Source organism: Homo sapiens, chromosome 7 (assembly GCF_000001405.40).
Source record: "Homo sapiens chromosome 7, GRCh38.p14 Primary Assembly".
Classification (NCBI taxonomy): Eukaryota; Metazoa; Chordata; class Mammalia; order Primates; family Hominidae; genus Homo; species Homo sapiens.
The window spans coordinates 38,515,789-38,535,737 of record NC_000007.14 but is presented as its reverse complement, the minus strand read 5'-3'; the positions used below and the strand labels follow the sequence as shown (position 1 = coordinate 38,535,737).

Below are 19,949 nucleotides of genomic sequence, written 5' to 3'. Positions count from 1 at the left end.
TTTCAAGCTCCTTATGAGAATATAATACCTGATGTTCTGTCACAGTCTCCCATCAGCCCCAGATAGGACCATTTAGTTGCAAGAAAACAAGCTCAGGGTTCCCACTGATTCTACATTATGGTGAGTTGTATAATTATTTCATGATATATTACAATGTAATAATAATAATAGAAATAAAGTGCACAATAAATGTAGTGTGCTTCAGTCATCCTGAAACCATTCCCCCCGCCACCCTCTGGTCAGTGGAAAAATTGTCTTCCATGAAACTGGTCCCTGGTGCCAAAAAGTTTGGGGACCACTGAAGTGGATGAATGCTTTAGTCAGACAGCTTTGGTCTACTGTTCACAAGCAGTTGAGTACCAATTATGCATTCAGCATTGTGCCAGATGCTTTGGACAAAAAGACAAATAAGGCATAGCTTCTGTCTCTAAGTCACGCACAGCCTGCTAAAGGAAACAGTTATATAAAGAAATAAGTGCAGTGTAGCACAACACTTGCTCAAAGCCACACAGCCTGTGAGGGGCGGGACTGGGATTCAGTTTTTTTTTTTTGTTCAACTCCAGAGCTGCCAAGCCAAGATGCTTCCAGAACAGAAAAATTAGAAGTGCTGATAGTTTTGCTCTACTCCTCAGAGCAAAACAACAGCCTTGCTCCATTAACAGAAAATGCACATCTTTCTTTGAAAACATTATTAAATTAAACCATTTTGTTTTATTTGCAAATTAGGTCCTCCAAAAGCTGGGGAAAGCTGATGAGACAAAAGACGAACAGTTCGAAGAATATGTCCAGAACTTCAAACGGCAAGAAGTGAGTCCATTTGTTTAGTTTCTGGAGTGGGAAATTGTTTAAATGTGTTTGTGTCTTAGTATGTAAGTAAAATGCATTAAGATTAAAAAAAGACTAGATGGAGTTGGCACTAACTTGAGAGTAACACTTGCTAATTCTGGAGAATTTCCTATTGAAGACGGGGAAAGAGCCATAGAGAGTAGGTTTTGGAATCCCAGGAGATAAAGACTCTGCTGTCCTGGACTGCTTTAGCTTTTTATAATATTTTAGTTTTTGAAACAGGGTCTCATTCAGATTGCCCAGGTTGGCGTGCAGTGACACAATTTTGGCTCACTTCAGCCTCAACATCCTTGGATTCAGGTGATCCTCCCACCTCAGCCTCCCAAGTAGCTGGGATTACAGGTGTACACCATCATATGTGGCTAATTTTGTTGTGTTTTTAGTAGAGATGGGGTTTTGCCATGTTGCCCAGGATAGTCTTGAACTCCTGGACTCGAGCGATCCACCCACCTAGGCCTCCCAAAGTGTTGGGATTACAGGTGTGAGCTACCAGGCCCGGTCTCCGACCACTGTAATACAGATGACGGATCTATAGGAATGCTGGTGTTTCTGAAGATTTATATTTCATTGAACATTAGAAAAGCAGTAGTTTAACACTTCTGGTAAAATGACCTTAATTGTTGCATGCTTCAAGAGCATGCATTCGCAACAGGGATTATACTAATATCTTCCCTAAGGGGCTGAAAATTGGTTCTTGGTGGGTGAAGAAAACCTTTTTAGTGTATAAAGCATAGATAAACATATCTTAGATAAGCAGACATATAGTATACTTACGGTATTAAAATTTTACAGGGGGTGTAATTCAGAAAAAAAAGTCTTAAAAGACTCCTTGGGGAGATGACAATGAAAAAGAGGTTGAGAAACAGATTGTGATGTTTGTTCCTTTAGTGTATGTGTTTAACAGACACGTGGATATAGAAACTATTTTTAAACTATGTCTTGATCTCTAAGGCTTGGATAATTGGCTAGAATATCTCTCTTTAGGTAACACACGTAAGGGCTGGGGAGGGGAAGATAGGAGTGGGGCCGTCTGAGGTTAGAAGCCTCAAATCTAGAGATCATCTTAGAGGTGGGGTAGGAAGAAGGCAGGCTGAGAAGGGCTTGGGAAATGGGGTTTGCGCATTATAAAGTCAGATTATGTGGGGAACAATATAAGGACATGGATTTCTTTTCCTGCTGTCAGTGGAGTTACCAGTGTCCACAGAGGGAATTATAGCCTCAGAGATGACACCAATAATGGGAAATCATCACAGGTTTTATTTTGCTCCCTTTGCTCCTGACCTTGGAGGTTTCTTTCTTCCATTTGTGTATCAGGGTTCCTGCTCTTTCTCTCACCAAGACATTCTATTTCTTTTCATTACCAAGAGGGATTATACATTTCAGCAGGTATGGAGCCAGGTAGATCAGTTTTGCCAAAACGCATTCCTGAATGTCTCCAGTTTCATCCCAAGACTAAGTGTTGGCATGTGCGATAGGTAGTCAGTTTACCATGAATGGGATAGCAAACGTGTTATATCTGAACATGAGAAAAGGGAGAGGGGAGCTAGAGAACAAAACAGTAACGGAGAGAAAAATTGATCATGGCCAAATGAACAAATATTACAGAGAGCTTTGGCTTAATAAAGGTAGAAAAGAGAATTCCTAGAGAAATGTTGGACTTGGGCCCACAGAATAAGTAGTCTCCTAGTCTCCTCTAGGAGAAGAGGGTCTTCACATCAACTTCTGTTCTCATTTGGTGATTTTTCACACATCTCCTGCGTGTGGGTAGCTCTCAAATAGATCATTGTCTTGGATTGCAGGAACTTCCCATACACAAACTTGTCCATCAGTGCCCTGTGACTTTGCAGGCAATCCCAAATGTCTGCTCTAAAATATTGGATTTAGATTGAAGAAGTGATTCATGTTTACAGTTTTCCCTACCTAAGGATTCACACTGTACCCTTCGAAACCTTGTTTTCCTGTCTGGCATGTCCCCATGGAGCTAATTAATTCTTTGCTCTTGGAGTTTTTCTCTATCACTTTTATGGCACTTTAATGTTGTTAGCACCCTAGAAGGTTAACTTTGGAAGCATCAGGTTTAGTAATGCAGTCATGCCAGGAAGCACTTTGCATTTTCCGATTACAGTGAATTTTCATTGTTTTTTTTTTTTTCCCAGCTTTCTTGACTGCCCCAGGTGAGGATTGTTTTTTGTTGAAGGTACTAGAGAAAAGTGCAATTTGATTAAATCATCAACTACATTGGCAGAATGATTTGTGCCACTAGCAGCAGCAGCATGTGGTGACTTTAAACTGCTGTCCTGCTATCTATTTTGGTCACTATATACAATACTCATCTTCAAATGTTATGGGGCATAGTATATTAGCACCCATGAAGACTACCACCTTAGTTCTCCCAAGAAATATTAGCAGATTTTAAAACGTGTGAAACTTCAAAACTTGGGGAAATTTGAACAAGTAATTCTATTTCATAAGAGTAAGGCAAATAGACTGTTAATATAGGGAATGTTATTTCTCAGGGAGTCTCTTGACCCCATTTGGTTCACTTTGAAAATATTTTTGCATCTAAAATATCTAGCATTTTCCTATCCTCATTTTGATCTTTTTTAATTAGAAAAAGAAAGTTTATAATCATTATAGTGGAGTGAGGAAGGAGAGTGCCTTACCCCTGTTTGTATATTAGAAGAGACAAGGAGAAAGGGAAGGAGGATAGAAGGAAGAGAAGGGGAGGGATTTATTAATTTTCTTTTGAAACATATTAAAGGTTGAGAAGTGTAGCTGAAGACTGATTTTATTAATGCTCTACGGAGAGAAGAATCCTCTTACCCCCAATATGTATTGGTGATCAATTTGCATGTGTTGGGTATGCTGAAAAAGGAGTGGTACTTATGTAGAAACATTAACCTAGAAGGAAGGATCTGCCAAGATTATGGTTACATCTGCAAGGTCTATTATTCTTAGTATTAATGTGATGGTGAATCAGTACTCTGAAGAGACAAAGCATTATCTAAAGGCTACATACTCTAAAGGCATTATCTAATCTAGGAAACCTAGATTCCATATTTTTTCTACGAGTATATATATTTTATATCCCAAAAGATACTATTGATAGTATAAAATGAAACCATATTTGGATTTGTGCATTGTATTATAGTCCCCTGACCACACTCAAGTAGTGCTTAATAAAGAAGTAGACCATTCTAGGATGTTCTAGAATTATTCAAACATTTATGGGGGCTCAGTTATCTTGCTTTTAGATTCCTTTTATAAAATCATAAGATCCTTATAGTTATTGATATATTCCTTGCTTGTTCATGTTGGAAACAAAAGTGGCAGAAAGGTCTGTGTTTGAACTCTGGCTTGGGGCTTTTCTTTATTTTATTCCAACTCTAAGTTTTCCTTTTGATCTCAAACTTCTTTTCCTTCAACATGGTTTGTGTGAGACTGAGAGCATCGATAAAGGGTCTGTACATACTTTGTTTTGTCCATTGGACTCCCAATTGCTGTAGCTTTTGTGGTTCATGTTTCATAAACTACTTAATTAAAACAAGGAGAGCCTGGTGCCATGGTGCGTGCCTGTAGTTCCAGCTACTCAGCAGGGTGACGCTGGAGGATCACTTGAGCCCAGGAGTCCTGGGCTGTTGTGTGCTATGCTAATTGGGTTCCTGCACTAATTTCAGCATCAATATGGTGACCTCCCAGTAGCGGGGAACCACGAGGTTGCCTAAGTAGGGGTGAACCTGCCCAGGTTGAAAATGGAGCAGGTCAAAACTCCTATGCTGATCAGTGCTGGGATCGTGCCTGTAAACAGCCACTGCACTGCAGTCTGGGCAACACAGTGAGACCTCATTTCGAAAGAGAGAAAGAAGGAAAGAAGGAAGGAAAGAAAGAAAGAAGGAAGGAAGGAAGGAATTAGGAGTAGTACATCAGGGAATAGAATGAACTCTTCTACAAAAAACTTGGAATTTTCCATGACAATGCATGCTAAGGAGAGCAAGGATTTTAGAAATCCAGCAGGAAGAACAAAATCTGATTTCATTTCCTCCTCAGAGGGCCTTTCTTCCCCGTTCTATTTTTGGTCTCTTATCAAAGCTGTTAACAAGTAGCAAAATTGACTGGTGTGAACATCACCTGCTTTCAGTTCTACCAGTTTTCTGCTGACAGATCTGTTAATGAGCAGAAAAAAAGGTCCCACTGTGGAAAGAAGGTCCTTGGTTTCTCTCCCTCCTTCCTGCTAATAAACTCGCCCAGTAAGATGCTGCACCTGTGGCAAGTGTGCTAATTAAAAGAAGATACCTTGAGGGCTGGTTGAGCCCAGATAACCAACTATTTGGACACATTTTAGTGAGTGCAGGTGGGAGCACCCTCATCCAGGTCCCATCTAAGAACAATAGTTCAAATAAAGGAGAGAGAGCCTTGGTTCTCCTTCTAGCATCTCCATAGGCTTCCATTCCCTCATTGAAATACCATAGCAGTGTTGTGCAGCTCCTCCATGGCCACGACTGAGTGATAGGCTAACTTTTGTGTAATATGAACCAAAAAGAGAAGAGACCCTGGGACCCTGAAATCCTCTCCAGTGGTGAGAATTCAGACCAGCCTCCCATGAGTTGGATGCTCTAGCAGATGTTTAAAGCTGGGCCACGTCCTCTCCTTAGACTGAACTCACACCTCCTGGACACAGCGATCCTGTTTTGCTGCTTCTATGTTTTTATTTCCATGGGAGCTAGTGCTTTGCAAGTAAACTTAACAAATGCTTGCTAAACTTGAAGCTGAACTAGTGGCAGAAATTATCACTTTGAGTGCATTCCTGGAGTACATTTTTATTTCTGGGATGGAAGAGATGTTGTATATGGTATGTATTTTTGCAAGCGGTTTCGTGACATTTTTAAGAACCTGGTATATGTACATATAAATGACTAAAGAGAAAAATTTTAGAAGTTTTAAGAAAGAGTGTAAAATAAAAATATACTGCCACAGTATATATGTTAATGTGTGGATAAAATTTTAATTTACGATAAATTATACTTACCTTCAGAAGCTTTTTGCAATTTGCTTGAGCAGATAGGCCTAGCATATACCTTAGAACATTTGTTTTTGCCACAGATAACCATGATGTGAATATATTAATGTATCTACCTTTCATTAAATATTAATCTTGACCTTCTTGTGAGATAGCCACTGCCTTGATTAAATGTGATCCCATCAGATCTGTTTTAAATAATGATCCAATTCTAAATGGCAGTATGGAGAGCCTCAGTTGCCCTACACAGCATCCTGTCAGGTTACTAGACCTTCTGGATTCTGAATAAGAACCTAAGCTGGCAAGTTTTGTGCCCTCCAGAGCAGTGTTTTTCAAACATTAGCTGCCTTGAAGTTACCTGGAAGGTGATGGTACAGCAGGTCGCACCCAGCAGCCTGTGCTGTACCAATGCCTTCAATGCAGGTGATGTCTGAGGTGAGGCATGAGAATCTGCATTTCTGACAAGTTCCCAAGTGATGCCAGTGATGCTGATCCAGGGACAACACATTGAGGACTAATGCATTGTATCTACTCATGCAAGTTTTTACAAGTGCTTCCTCTGGTTTGTCCTTGAAACTTCTAATCCTATGTTTGATGTCTATCTTTAGTGTCTATAAATATGGATATAAATATGGATAAAGATTTGGTGGTCATGTTCTGGATTATCTGTGATCTGCATAGATCAAATCAACTAAGATGATCTGATATTTAACAGGCATGATTTTTGAGTGTAGTGATGGAACTCGCTTCTTCCAAGGTTGTAGAGCCGGGAGGCTGGATGCCCTGTTAAGAAATGAAAGTCCCTGCTCACACCTTAATGAGAAGGAGTTTCATGAAGCTCTTTTAAGATAGTCTGGTGTAATAGGGGAAATTATAGAAGGCATTAGAACTCTGGACTTAGGGTCCTGGGAAAAAAATTGATTATCTGGAAAACCAGGTTCAGCGAATACAAGGCCTTGGAAATGAAAGTGTCTTGTCCAGAAGCAGCCGAGGCAATGCTGGAAGGGAAATTTATAGCATTAAATGCTTGCATTAGAAACAAGGAAAGGTCTTAAATCAATAATCTAATTTCCTACCTCAAGAAACTTGAAAGAGAAGAAAATAAACCCAAAGCAAGCAGAAGGAAGGAAATAAAAAAAGAACAGAAATCAATGAAACTGAAAATGGAAAACAATAGAGAAAAAAATGAAACAAAAGTCTGATTCTTTGGAAAAAAGTCAATAAAATTAATAAACCTCTAGCAGGACTGACAACAAGAAAAAAGACACAAATCACCCACATCAGAAATGAAACAAAGGATATTACTATAGCCTCTGTAGCCATCTAAAGGATAATAAGGGAATAATACAAGCAACTTTATACTTACAGATTTGACAACCACAGGGGATCAATTCCTTTACAATCACAAACCACTAAAACTTAATCAAGGTGAAATAGACAATTTGAATAGTTTAATAATTATTAAAGAAAGTGGATTTGTGATTTAAAATCTGAAAAAAAATCTCCACACCCTCTGATAGTTTCACTGGATAATTCTAACATTTAAAGAATTGATATCAATTTTACATAATCTTTTTCAGAAAATAGAAGAGGAGGGAGCACTTCTCAATTGATTTTATGTGGGCTGTATTACCTTGATACCAAAACCAGACAACAATAGTATGAAAAAAAGAAAACTGCAGACCAATATGTCTCATGAAGTTACATGTAAGAATCTTTCAAATATCAGCAAATGAAATCTAACAATGTGTAAAAAGAATTATACACCTTGACCAAATAGGATTTATTCAGGATATGCGAGGCTGGTTTAACATTCCAAAATCAATCAATGTAATTTACCATATAAACAAGGTAAGGAAAAAAATCATATGATCATATAAATTGATGTAGAAAAAATTTGTGACAAAATTCAGCACCCACTCCACAATAAAAATGCCCAGCAAGTTACGAATAGAAGAGAATTACCTCATTTTGGTAAAGAACATCTACAAAGAAACCTAACGTACAGTTAATATCATAATTAATGGTAACAGACTGAATGCTTTTCTCCAAAGATTGAAAACAAGGCAAGGATGTCCATTCTCGCTAATGCTATGCAATGTAGAAGTGGAAGTCCTAGCCAGTACAATAAGGAAAATGAAAGGAAACAAAAGGCGTATAGCTCATAAAGAAATTACACTCATTTTGTCTGCAGATGACATAATTATGTACATAGAAAATCCCAAGACGTCAACGAAAATACTACTCTAACAGATAAATGAGTTCAGTGAGGTCACAAGATATAAGATCAACACATAAATATCAATCACATTTCTATATACTCACAATGAACATGTGGAAATCAAAATTAAAAACACAACTTTTATAATCACTCCAAAGAAAAAGAAATATATATGTGTAAATTTAACAAAACACATACAGGATCTATATGCTTAAAATTATAAAATACTGAAATCAAAAAGAACTAAATACTTGGAAAGATGTACTATATTCATGGATTTGAAGCCTCAACACAGTAAACATGTTGGTTGTCACCAAATTAACCAATAGGTTTAATGCAATTTCCTGCAATTTCTACAGCATGTTTTTTATGACCATAGATAAACTTATTCTAAAATTTACATGGAAATGCACAGACCCTATCATAATTAAAACAATGACAAAGACAAAGTAGGAGGAAAAATTCTTTTCAATATTAAGGCCTACCACATAGGTGAAATAATCAAGACATTGTATTGGCAGAGAGATAGACATGTAGATTAATAGAACAGAATAGGTAACCAAGAAATAGACCCACACAAATATGCTCAACTGGTTTTTGACAAAGGTTTAAAAACAATTCAGTGGAAGAAAGATAACCTTTCAACAAACGGTGCCATAGTAACTGGGCATCCATAGGCCAAAAAACTGAACTTTGACCTAAAACTAACCCTTATACAAAATTAACTGAAAGTATATCAAGAACTTAAATATAAAACATAAAGCTTTAAAACTTTTGGGAAAAAATAGGAGAAAATCTTTGGGATCTAGGGTTAGGTAAAGAGTTCTTAGATTTGCTACCAAAAGCACAATACAAAAGAGGAAAATGTGATAAATTGGACCTCATCCAAATTAAAAACTTCCTTTGCAAAAGAGCTGTTAAGAGAATGAAAAGACAAGCTATGGACTGGGAGAAAATATTTGCAAACTACATATCCAAGAAAGGACTAGTATCCAGAATACGTAAAAGAAACTTAAAACTCCGTAGTAAAAATAAGTTAAACAGTTCCATTAGAAAATGGGCAAAATCCATGAATAGAGGCCGGGTGCAGTGGCTCACGCCTGTAATCCTAGAACTTTGGGAGGCCGAAGTAGGTGGATCACTTGAGGTCAGGAGTTCGAAACCAACCTGGTTAACATGGCAAAACTCCGTCTCTACTGAAAAAAAAAAAAAAAAAAAAAGCCGGGCATGGTAGTGGGTGCTTGCAGTCCCAGCTACTTGCGAGGCTGAGGTGAGAGAATTGCTTGAACCCTGGAGGCGGAGGTTGCAGTGAGCTGAGATGATGCCACTGCAGTCCAGCCTGGGTGACGGAGTGAGACTCTATCTCAGAAAAAAAAAAAAAGAAAAGAAACCATGAATATATATTTTATTGCAGTAGATATGTGGATGGCAAAGAAGAATATGAAAAGATTTTTAATACCTATTTAGCCATCGGAGAAATGCAAATTAAAACCACACAAGAAATCACCATCCATCTCTCAGGATGGCTAAAATAAAAACTAGTGACAATGCTAAATGCTGGCAAGGATTTGGAGAAACTGAATCACTCATACATTGTGTGAAATGATTCATAGCCACTGTGGGAAACAGTTTGGCTATTTCTTAAAAAATTAGACATGTATACCATACAACCCAAAAACTGCACTCTTATGCATTTATCCCATAGAAATGAAAATGTATGTTCTCACAAAAAAATTGTTCACAAATGCCCTTAGCAGCTTTATTTATAGTAGCTCCAAATTGGCAACACCCCAGATGTCCTTCAGGGGGTGAATAGTTAAACAAACTGTAGTATATCCATACTATGGAATACTAGTAAGCAATGAAAAGAAAATAACTACGGCCACACACCAAAGCCTGCTTGAATCTCCAGGGAATTATTCTGAGTGAAAAAATCCAATTCTAAAAGGTTTTATACTGTGGGATTCCACTTATGTGACTCTTTCGGCATGACAGAATTTCAGAAATGGAGTAAAGTTTGGTGGTTGCCAAGAGTGAGTGAGGGGGGTTTGGGGTCGATGTGGTTATAAAAAGTCAATACAAGGGATTCTTGTCCTGACTGGAAAGTTCTGTATCCTGACTGTGGTGATGGATACATGAACCTACACATGTGGTAAAATCGCATAAAACTAAACACACACACACACACACACACACACACACACACACGCACAAATGAGTACAGGTAAAACTGGGAGAAGCTGAATAAGATGGGTAGGTTGCATCTATGTTGTGACATTGTACAATAATTTTGTAAAATGTCGCTGTGAAGGAAGACTGAGTACAGGATGCAAAGGCTCCCTCTCTCTCTCTCTCTCTCTCTCTCTCTCTCTCTCTATATATATATATATATATACACACACACACACAACTACATATATACACAACTATATATTATATATAATAGATGATATATAAGATTGTGTATATATATACACAACTATATATATATATACACACAAGTAACACAACTATATATATACACACACACACAACTGCAAATGATTCCATAATTACATCATTGAAACTTCATTTAAAATATATCCCCTTTCATAGGCTTACCTAGAAAAAGCATACTGCCTCACTGCCTCTGTCAGAACAAACACACTTGAAGGCAGAAGCCACAGACTCACATTCTTGCCAAGATGTGTCAGGGAACATAAACAAGCTGAGTAGGCAAGGTATAAAACAGTAAGGAGTGGTGAGGACTGTGCTGAATTATAGGATTCATGGGACCTAAAGAAGCAGCTGTCAACTCCAGTGCACACGAATCTCAGGAGGATGTGGGCCCCATATTGCCACATCAGATTTTCAAGAAAAGATTAAATTCATATTGTAATAAAAGTTCCCAATTTTATTTTGTATATTTTAAATTTAGAAGTAATTTTAACCTTACAAAAAGCTATAATAATAGTATACAGAACTGCTGTGTACCATTCACCTAGACTTCCCAATTACTGTATCATTCTATCTATATATGAATGCTTCCATGCCTCCATGCCTCCAACCATCTATTCATCCATCCATCCATCCATTAGTATCCAAAAACGACACTATCCTACACAGCAGTAGTTCCTTCTGTCAAAGTCAGTGAATTACCTTTGATCCCGTATTACCATCTAATTTGCAGATCCCCAAATTTTGCCTATGACAAAACTTTTGCTATGCAGAAGACTCTGTGAAGGGGATGAAAAGACAAGTTAGAGGCCCAGAGAAAATGTTTGCAACATATGCCCTAATTGTGTTTTTTAAAGGGCCTGTATCCAATCCAGGGTCACCTGTTGCCCCTAATTGTCAGGTTTCATTAGTTTCTTTAAACTAACTCTGTTGGAAGAGTGTTTCAGTGTTTTCTTGCCTTTCATGATCTTGACACTTCTGAGGAGTACTGCCCAGTGTTTATTTGTAGAGTGTCCCTCACTCTGGATTTGCCCGATACTTTTCTCATAATTAGCTTCGTGTTAATAATTAGCTTCTGGGAAGATTACTACAGAAGAAAGTGATGCCCAGTGTATGCTGTCAGAACACACATCATGTTAATTTGTGCCACTGCTAGTGATGCTAACTTTTATCACTTTGTAATGGCAGAGCTCAACAGATGATATGCAGGTATCTCTAGTAAGATAAGATGATATCTGCCAGGTATCTCTAGTATAGAGTTAATACATAAATATTTTCTCTCAAAATTAATAAATATTTAATAAGTAATATTAATAAATATTTTGTGGGGATATAGTTTGAGACTGTACATGTCCTGTTTCTCATCAAACTGTCACCTACTAGTTTTATCCACTAGTGCTACTTCTTTAAATCAGCTGTTACTCTGATGCTTGCTACATGGTGAATTATTTTGAATTCCTTCTAAACTTATTAATTAGCATTCTACTCAGTGGTAAAATTTTTGAGTATTGTGACATTGTACAATCATTTCGCAAAATGTTGTTATCTCTGCCCTCACTCCTGGTAAAAATTTTTCTTTCTTAATTAATTAATTATATCAGCATGTACTTATGGATTCCTATGTTATTCACTGGGTTATAATACATTACTATTCGTCATTTTGGAGTGCAGTTCCTCCAAATTTAGCCAGTGGAAGCTCCTAGGAGTTGACTCCTTTGTCCTTTTGACAGACCTGCATCATTCTCTGACAACATTTTTACCTTTTTGGTACAATATGTTTCAGGATCTTGTTGTGCTTTCCCTTGCCAAAATAGCTTGGAATCAGTTATTTTTCCAAGAAATCCTGGTTTCTTTTGGTGGAGACTGGGATTTAGAAACCAAGATCTGGGTTCTAGGTATATTCTTTGTTTCTAGGGTATCATACTTCTAGGCCTTCTAAGTGGACAGGATATATATGTGTGTATACACACACACAACACGTGTATATACAAGTATTTATACACACAGACATCTATATTATCTATCTATCTGAAACCGTGACCCTTCCAACTGCAGTTCAGTGTCTCCTGCTTTATTTGGGCTCTCCCCCACCTTCTTTTTTTTTTTTTTTAGACAGAGTTTCACTCTTGTTGCCCAGGCTGGAGTGCAGAGGTGCGATCGCCACTCACTGCAACCTCTGCCTTCTGGTTTCAAGCGATTCTCCTGCCTCAGCCTCCCGAGTAGCTGGGATTACAGGCGCCCACCACTACGCCCGGCTAATTTTTGTATTTTTAGTAAAGATGGGGGTTTCACTATGTTGGCCAGGCTGGTCTCGAACTCCTAACCTTGTGATCTGCCTGTCTCAGCCTCCCAAAATGCTGGATTACAGGCGTGAGCCACCACGCCTGGCTGGGCCTTCCCCCTTTCTAGATTTGTACTTCCCTCTTTGAGAGTGAGAAACCTGCTTTCATTATCTTCAATATACGTATATTTATTTGTGCAGTCTCCCTTATGTAACCAGCCTCCTGACCATGTGGGCCATCTCTTTGTCTCCTGTGCTGCACCAGTCCAGGGTCCCCTGCTCTCTAGCTCTCTAGCTGTAGGCTGATTCATACCCACCTACACTTTCCCCTTCTCTCCCCTCTGGAGGCCTGCTGACCAAGAATCTCTGCCCGCTTAGCACCGTAGCTGAGTTCCCACTTGCTGATGGTATGCCTGCTGCATTCTCTCTGCCCTCACTCCTTGCACCATGCCTTCTGAGAGTCTCCCCGCTATACTCACTCACTCTGCCTGTGCATCACAGGAAGTATCCCGCTTGTTTAAAATACTGGCACCTAATTCAATTTCATAATGGAGTCTGTAAAATAAATCAATGTCAATAGAACAAATTTGACCCATGGGCTATAACAATACTAAACATACAAACATTATTACACATATAAGTGTACTAAAGGATAAGCATTATTAATGCCCCGAGGAAAAGGTAACAGTTAATATATGGCCATATTAACTTAGCGAGCAGTTTGCTTTTTAGGCTTTAATAGGATGGCAGTTATCAATATAAAATGTATGGTTTGGTTGCATTTACTCTAAAAGAATTAAAATGTGGTTCTTGGTTTTTGGAAGTACAAGATCCTTGCTTGAGGTCTCTTTTTTCTCCACCTCATGCAGTGACCCCACAGATCCCAAGCAGCTCATTGTAACCAGTGTTACTCTACCTCATCAGGAGTTTCCTATGATAGCTGTAGTAATACATTTCACAGGGTGGTAGATTTGGCCTTAATTACCCCTGTTCCACTGAGGGAAATCTCAGTAGAATTTTCAATGTCTGGTGACATTTCAGCAAAGAGTGTACATGGGAAGCGCCTACTGAATGTCCTGGTCTCAGATACATAGATACACAGCTAAATTACTATCATGTAAGAAAACTGGATAATAAAGAATGTACTACTGAAGTATACAGAGGAAGAGAGACTCCTGACTGAGGGGATGGGAATCCCTCCAACAGAGAATGAAAATTCTGTAGATCAAGAAAGCAACATAGGAATGGGGTGGATGATAATATTTCCTTTCCTTTAATGAAGTATTAAAAAAAAAGAGATGATGCATGGAGGGGTATGTTCTACTCAATCTGCACTTTTCCAAAAATCTCTCTACCTTTTTTCATTTGTTAAAAAATGTATCTGGCTCCACATATACTTTTTTGTTTGTTTGTTTTGAGACAGAGTCTTGCTCTGTCACCCAGGCTGGAGTGAAGTGGCGCTATCTCTGTTCACTGCAACCTCTGCCCGCCGGGTTCAAGCGATTCTCCTGCCTCAGCCTCTTGAGTAGGTGGGATTACAGGTGCCTGCCACCACGCCTGACTAATTTTTGTGTTTTTGGTAGAGACAGGTTTTGCCATGTTGGCCAGGCTGGTCTCGAACCTCTGACCTTAACTGATTCGACCTGCCTTGGCCTCCCAAAGTGCTAGGATTACCGGTGTGAGCCACCACACCCGGCCCACACATACATTTTTACACAGAAAAATCTCTGACCTCTTGTCTGGGGTAGTTTCCTTAAGATACCCTCTTAAGAATATATATTTACATGACTTGGAGCAAATTCTACTTGTTCAGTGCCCACTCTATAGGACACAAATTATTTGTACCTAGAGTTTGCTTTGGGCTTTCTCTCACATTCATAGTACTAAATCTTTCTTTGGCCATCCCTAAGGATTTGATCACACTTCCCCTTTTAGTTTTTGGCAGAGCTCAACTGCTTATCAGCCAAGTAAATGGCTTTTCTCTTTAGGGATCCCGTTAAGGAGGCTGATTTGAATTAAGATGCTCTGATGTAATTAAAGGCAGAAAGGAAGTTGGTGCAGTGAATAGTTGGTGGTCTATGTCTGATAGTGTAATTTTGGGACTGAATTGCTGGCTTTCAAACTCTTTTCCACTTCCCTCACTGCAGCTACTTCCATATGATTTGACTGCCCTTCCTTCCCGGATCTGCCATCTCCTTATGTTCAAGTCCCATCTTCTTTAAGGTCAACTCACAAGGAATATTCTAGTGGTATTTTCCCCATCCCCTCAGTCAGGAGTCTCTTTTCCTCTGTTTACTTCAGTAGTACGTTATTTGTTATCTAGTTTTCTTACATGATAGTAATTTAGCTGTGTATCTATGTTCTCATTCAATTGTAAAATATTTAAAGGAAGACTCAACGTTTAGTCATTTTTACAAACCTTCAATGGCTTCTAGTACTTGCTAGGTGCCTAATAAGTACATCCCAGTTTTGACTTGCCTGCTTGTCACACTTATTCTCTGTATTTACCCTTTGCTTTGCATATTATGTGCCTCACTCGTTTAATATCAAAGCCCTCTTTTTAAAAACTCTATGTAAACTTTATTTATGACTATACATGCAAAACATTTATAAATGAAACTTTGAAGATTGAAGTCATCACTATATTAAGAGGATAATATACTATGACTAGGGAGAGTTTATTCCTGGAATGTAGATGGTTTGTTTCCCAGATGAATACATTTTTTTTGATAAGTTGATGTCTAATAGAATTTAGGCCATATAAATCATAATTCCAACAGAATGTTTTATAGATATAGTTAAACTGATTCTAAGATTATATGCATATACATATATATACATACACACATACGGGGAGAGACAGAGAGAGAGAGAAAGGCAAAGGAGTTATAATAGCCAAGATGATTTTTTATTTTTTTGATTTTTATTTATTTATTTATTTTTCAACTTCTTAGATTCAGAGGGTTCATGGGCACAATTTTATTCCTTTTATGGCTGCATAGTATTCTGTGGTGTATATGTACCACATTTTATTTATTTAATCCACAACTGATAGGTACCTAGGTTAATTTCATAAATCTGCTGTTGTCAATAGTACTGCAATGAACATGTGAGTGCATTTGTCAACACCCCTCTTTTTATATTGTCATTTACTATACCTCTTTTATCCATTGGAGAATGCCTGACATGGCCTGGGCTTGATCCTAACCTGGACTACAGAGACTAGAGCAAAGTTTTGGTCACTCCTGGTTCAAAAGCTGCCCTAGTTCCATGATGCCCATAGGTATCTGTGGACACAGTTGTTTCAGTCTTCTAAGAATTTTACATGCATTTACAAACAATAAAATAAATAATTTTAATTATGCCTAAGAATGTTTTTCTTGTCTTTAAGTCCAAGTTATGTTCTTCAATTTGTACAATTTTAAAATATTTTTAATATACTGGGTTTTGGAGTAAGACTATTCTCTTATGGGATAATATTTTTACCAGAGAGCCTTAATATATTTAATTGATATCAATTAATTGGTATGAGAAACTTCTTTTGTAATTATGAGTTTTGTTGCCTGAATTCATACTGGATTTCCATTAATCTTTAAACTCAATAATTGCGCAGTATTCTATAAGTGAATTGGTGCATGTCTGCATCGCTGGAAATAAAGTTTACCTAGAGATGCTGTCTTAGTCTGTTTTTTGCTGCTGTAGCAGAATACCACAGAGTGGGTAATTTATAAAGAAAGGAAATTCATTTCTCACAGTTCTGGAGGCTGGGAAGTCCAAGGATGTGGTGCCAGCATTGGCTCTGCCATCTGATGAAGACCATCCCATGGCAGATGGGTGGAAAGTAGAAGCAAGTTAACGTGACACAGAGGAAATTGGGTTGAACTTATCCTTTTTATCAGAAGCCCACTCCCATGATAACTAGCTCGCTGCCATGATAATGGCATTAATCCATTTATGAGCGTGAAACCCGCATGACCTAATCATCTCTTAAAGATCCTGCCTCTCAACACTGTTGCAATGGTAATTAAATTTCAAGATGAGTTTTGGCAGGGATGTTCAAACCATAGAATTCCTTCCTGGTCCCTCAAAACTCATGTCCTTCTCACAATTCAAAATACATTTATTCCATCCCAACAGCCCCAGAAGTCTTAACTTATTCCAACATCAATTCAAAAGTTCAAAGTCCAGAGTCCTGTATAAATCATATGTGGATGAGACTGAATGCATGATTCATCCTGAGGCTAATTCCTTTCAGCTGTGAGCCTGTGAAATCAAAACAAGTTATCTACTTATAAAATACAATGGTGGGACAGGCGTAGGACAGACATTCCCATTCTAAAGGGGATAAATAGACAAGAAGAAAGAGATAACTGGTCCCAGGTAAGCCCAAAACCCAACAGAGAAAACATTAAACGTTAAAGCTGGAGAATAATCACCCTTGACTCTATATCCCATTTACCGGATACACTGTGGCTGGGGTTGGGCCCCCATGGCCTCAGGAAGTCCTGCCCCCGTGACTTTGCTAGGCTCAGTTCACCCAGCTTTAATGGGTTGGAGTTCCATGCTGGTGGCCCTACAAGTTCTATGTTTTCACTGGCAGCCCTGACCCCAGGGCTCCACTATACATTGCCCTAGTAGAGATTCTGTGACACCTCTGCTTCTGTGGCAAGTTTCTGCCTGAGTTCCAAGCTTTTTATGAAATCCTTTGAAATATTATGGGAGGAAGAAGCCATTTCCTCAAAGTTCTTCCATTCTGTGCACCTGTAGAATTATCACCATGTGGACACTACTAAGGCTTACCATTTGTAACATGTGGAGCAGTGGGTTGAGCTGCTCTTGGGGCCACTTGAGCCACAGCTGGGCTGGGCAAAGAGTGCTGCACTGAGAAGTGGGGAGCAGAGTCCCTTGGTTGTCCTGGGCAGTGAGCCTGTGGAGGGTGGAGGGTGCCCCAGGCCTATCTCCCAAAACTGTTCAGCCCTTCTAGAGCGCTGAGACTGTGATGAGAGGGGCAGCCTAGAAAATTTTCAGAATGATTGTGGGGTCTTTCATTGTCTTGATGAATAGCACTTGGCTTCTTTTTGTTCATATTAATCTCTTTAACAAAGGATCACGTGGCTATACCCTTAGCATTGTCTCTCTGACATGCTTTTTATTCTTTACATAGTCAGGCTGTGAATTTTCAAATCTTTTTGTTCTGTTTCCTTTGAATTATAAATTGCATATTTAAGTAATTTCTTTTCTCTAGCATTCCACTATATGTAGTTGAAAGTAACCACACAGCAACCTGAATGCTTTGCTGCTTAGATATTTCTTCCACCAGATATCCTTGTGCATCACTGTATTAGTCCACTCTCACACTGCTATAAAGAACTACCTGAGACTGGGTAATCATAAAGAAATGAGGTTTAATTGGCTCATGATTCCTCAGGCTGAACAGGAAGCATGGATGGGGGGCACTCAGGAAACTTACAATTATGGCAGAAGGTGAAGAGGAAGGAGGTACAGCTTACATGGCTGAAGCAGGAGGAAGAGAGTGAAGGGAGAAGTGCTTTATACTTTTAAACAGCCAGATCTCATGAGAACTCACTCACTATTATGAGAATGGCAAGAATGGCAAGGGGGAAGTCCACCCCCATGATCCAATCACCTCCCACCAGGTTCCTCCTCCAACACTTGGGTTTACAATTTGACATGAAATTTGAGTGGGGACACTAATCCAAACCATATCATTCCTTCTCTGGCCTCCCAAATCTCATGTCCTTCTCACATTTTAAAATACAATAATTTCTTCTCAACAGTCCCCCAAGTCTTAACTCATTTCAGCATTAACTCAAAAGTCCACAGTTCAAAGTCTTATCTGAGACAAAGCAAGACCCTTCCACCTATGAGCCTGTAAAAATAGAAAACAAGTTAATTACTTCCAAGATACAATAGAGATACAGGCATTGGGTAAATATATCCATTCCAAAAGGGATAAATTGATCAAAAAAAGGGGCTATGGGCCCCATGCAAGTCTGAAACCCAGCAAGGCAGTCATTAAATCTGAAGGGTCCAAAATAATCTCCCTTGACCCCATGTCTCATATTCAGGCGACACTGACACAAGGGGTGGGCTCCCAAGGCCTTGGGCAGCTCTGCCTCTGTGGCTCTGCAGGGCACAGTTCCTGAGACTGCTTTCATCGGCTGGTGTTGAGTGCCTGCAGCTTTTGCAGGTGCAGGGTACAAGCTGTCAGTGGATCTGCCATTGTGGGGTCTGGAGGACTGTGGCCCTCTTCTCACAGCTCCACTAGGCAGTTCCCCAGTGGGGCATCTGTGTAAGGAGTCCAATCCCATATTTCTTCTTGGCACTGCCCTAGTAGAGGTTCTCCATGAGAGCTTTGCTCCTATAGCAAAATTCTGCCTGGACCAGGTGTTTCCATACATCCTCTGAAATCTAGGCAGAGGCTCCCATGCCTCAGCTCTTGCCCTCTGCATACCTACAGGCATAACACTGTATGGAAGTCATCAAGCCTTATAGCTTACATCCTCTGGAGCAGTGGTCTGAGACTTCTCTGGGGCCCTTTTAACCATGACTGGAGCTGGAGTGGCTGGGATGCATGGAGCAGTGTCCCGAGGCTGCTCAGGGCAGTAGGGCCCTGGGCCAGCCCACAGAACCATTCTTTCCTTCTAGGCCTCAGGGCCTGTGATGGAAGGCGCTGCCAAGAAGGTCTCTGAAAAAAAATGCCTTCAAGGCATTTTCCCCATTGTCTTGGCTCCTTTTTACTTATGCAAATTTCTGCAGCCAACTTGAATTCTTCTCCAGAAAATGGGTTTTTCTTTTCTACCACATGGCCAGGCTGCAAATTTTCCAAACTTTTACAGTCTACTTCCCTTTTAAACATAAGTTCTAGCTTCAGGTCATTTCTTTGCTCATGAATATAAGCATAGGCTGCTAGAAGCAGCCAGGTGAAATCTTGAACATTTTGCTGCTTAGAAATTTCTTCCACCAGATACCTTAAATCATCTCTGTAGGGCAGGGGCACAATGCCTGCCATCTCTTTGCTAACAAATTACACAAATGACCTTTGCTCCAGTTCCTAATAAGTTCCTCATCTCCATCTGAGACCTCCTCAGCCTGGACTTCATTGACTATATCACTATCAGAATTTT

At 39.2% G+C, this 19,949-nt stretch overlaps 1 protein-coding gene and 1 pseudogene across 8 annotated transcripts in view; both read left to right on the top strand.

Annotated features, from left to right (window-relative positions):
- Nucleotides 1-19,949, top strand: part of AMPH (amphiphysin) — a 247,670-nt gene that overhangs the window by 95,636 nt on the left and 132,085 nt on the right. For all 8 annotated transcript variants that reach the window (XM_006715690.5, XM_011515271.4, XM_017011996.3 and 5 more), the window contains exon 2: nt 727-807. In XM_006715690.5, the coding sequence (XP_006715753.1) occupies nt 727-807 (81 nt within the window). The remainder of the gene's footprint in view (nt 1-726; nt 808-19,949) is intronic.
- RN7SL83P (RNA, 7SL, cytoplasmic 83, pseudogene) lies at nt 4,400-4,696 on the top strand (annotated as a pseudogene).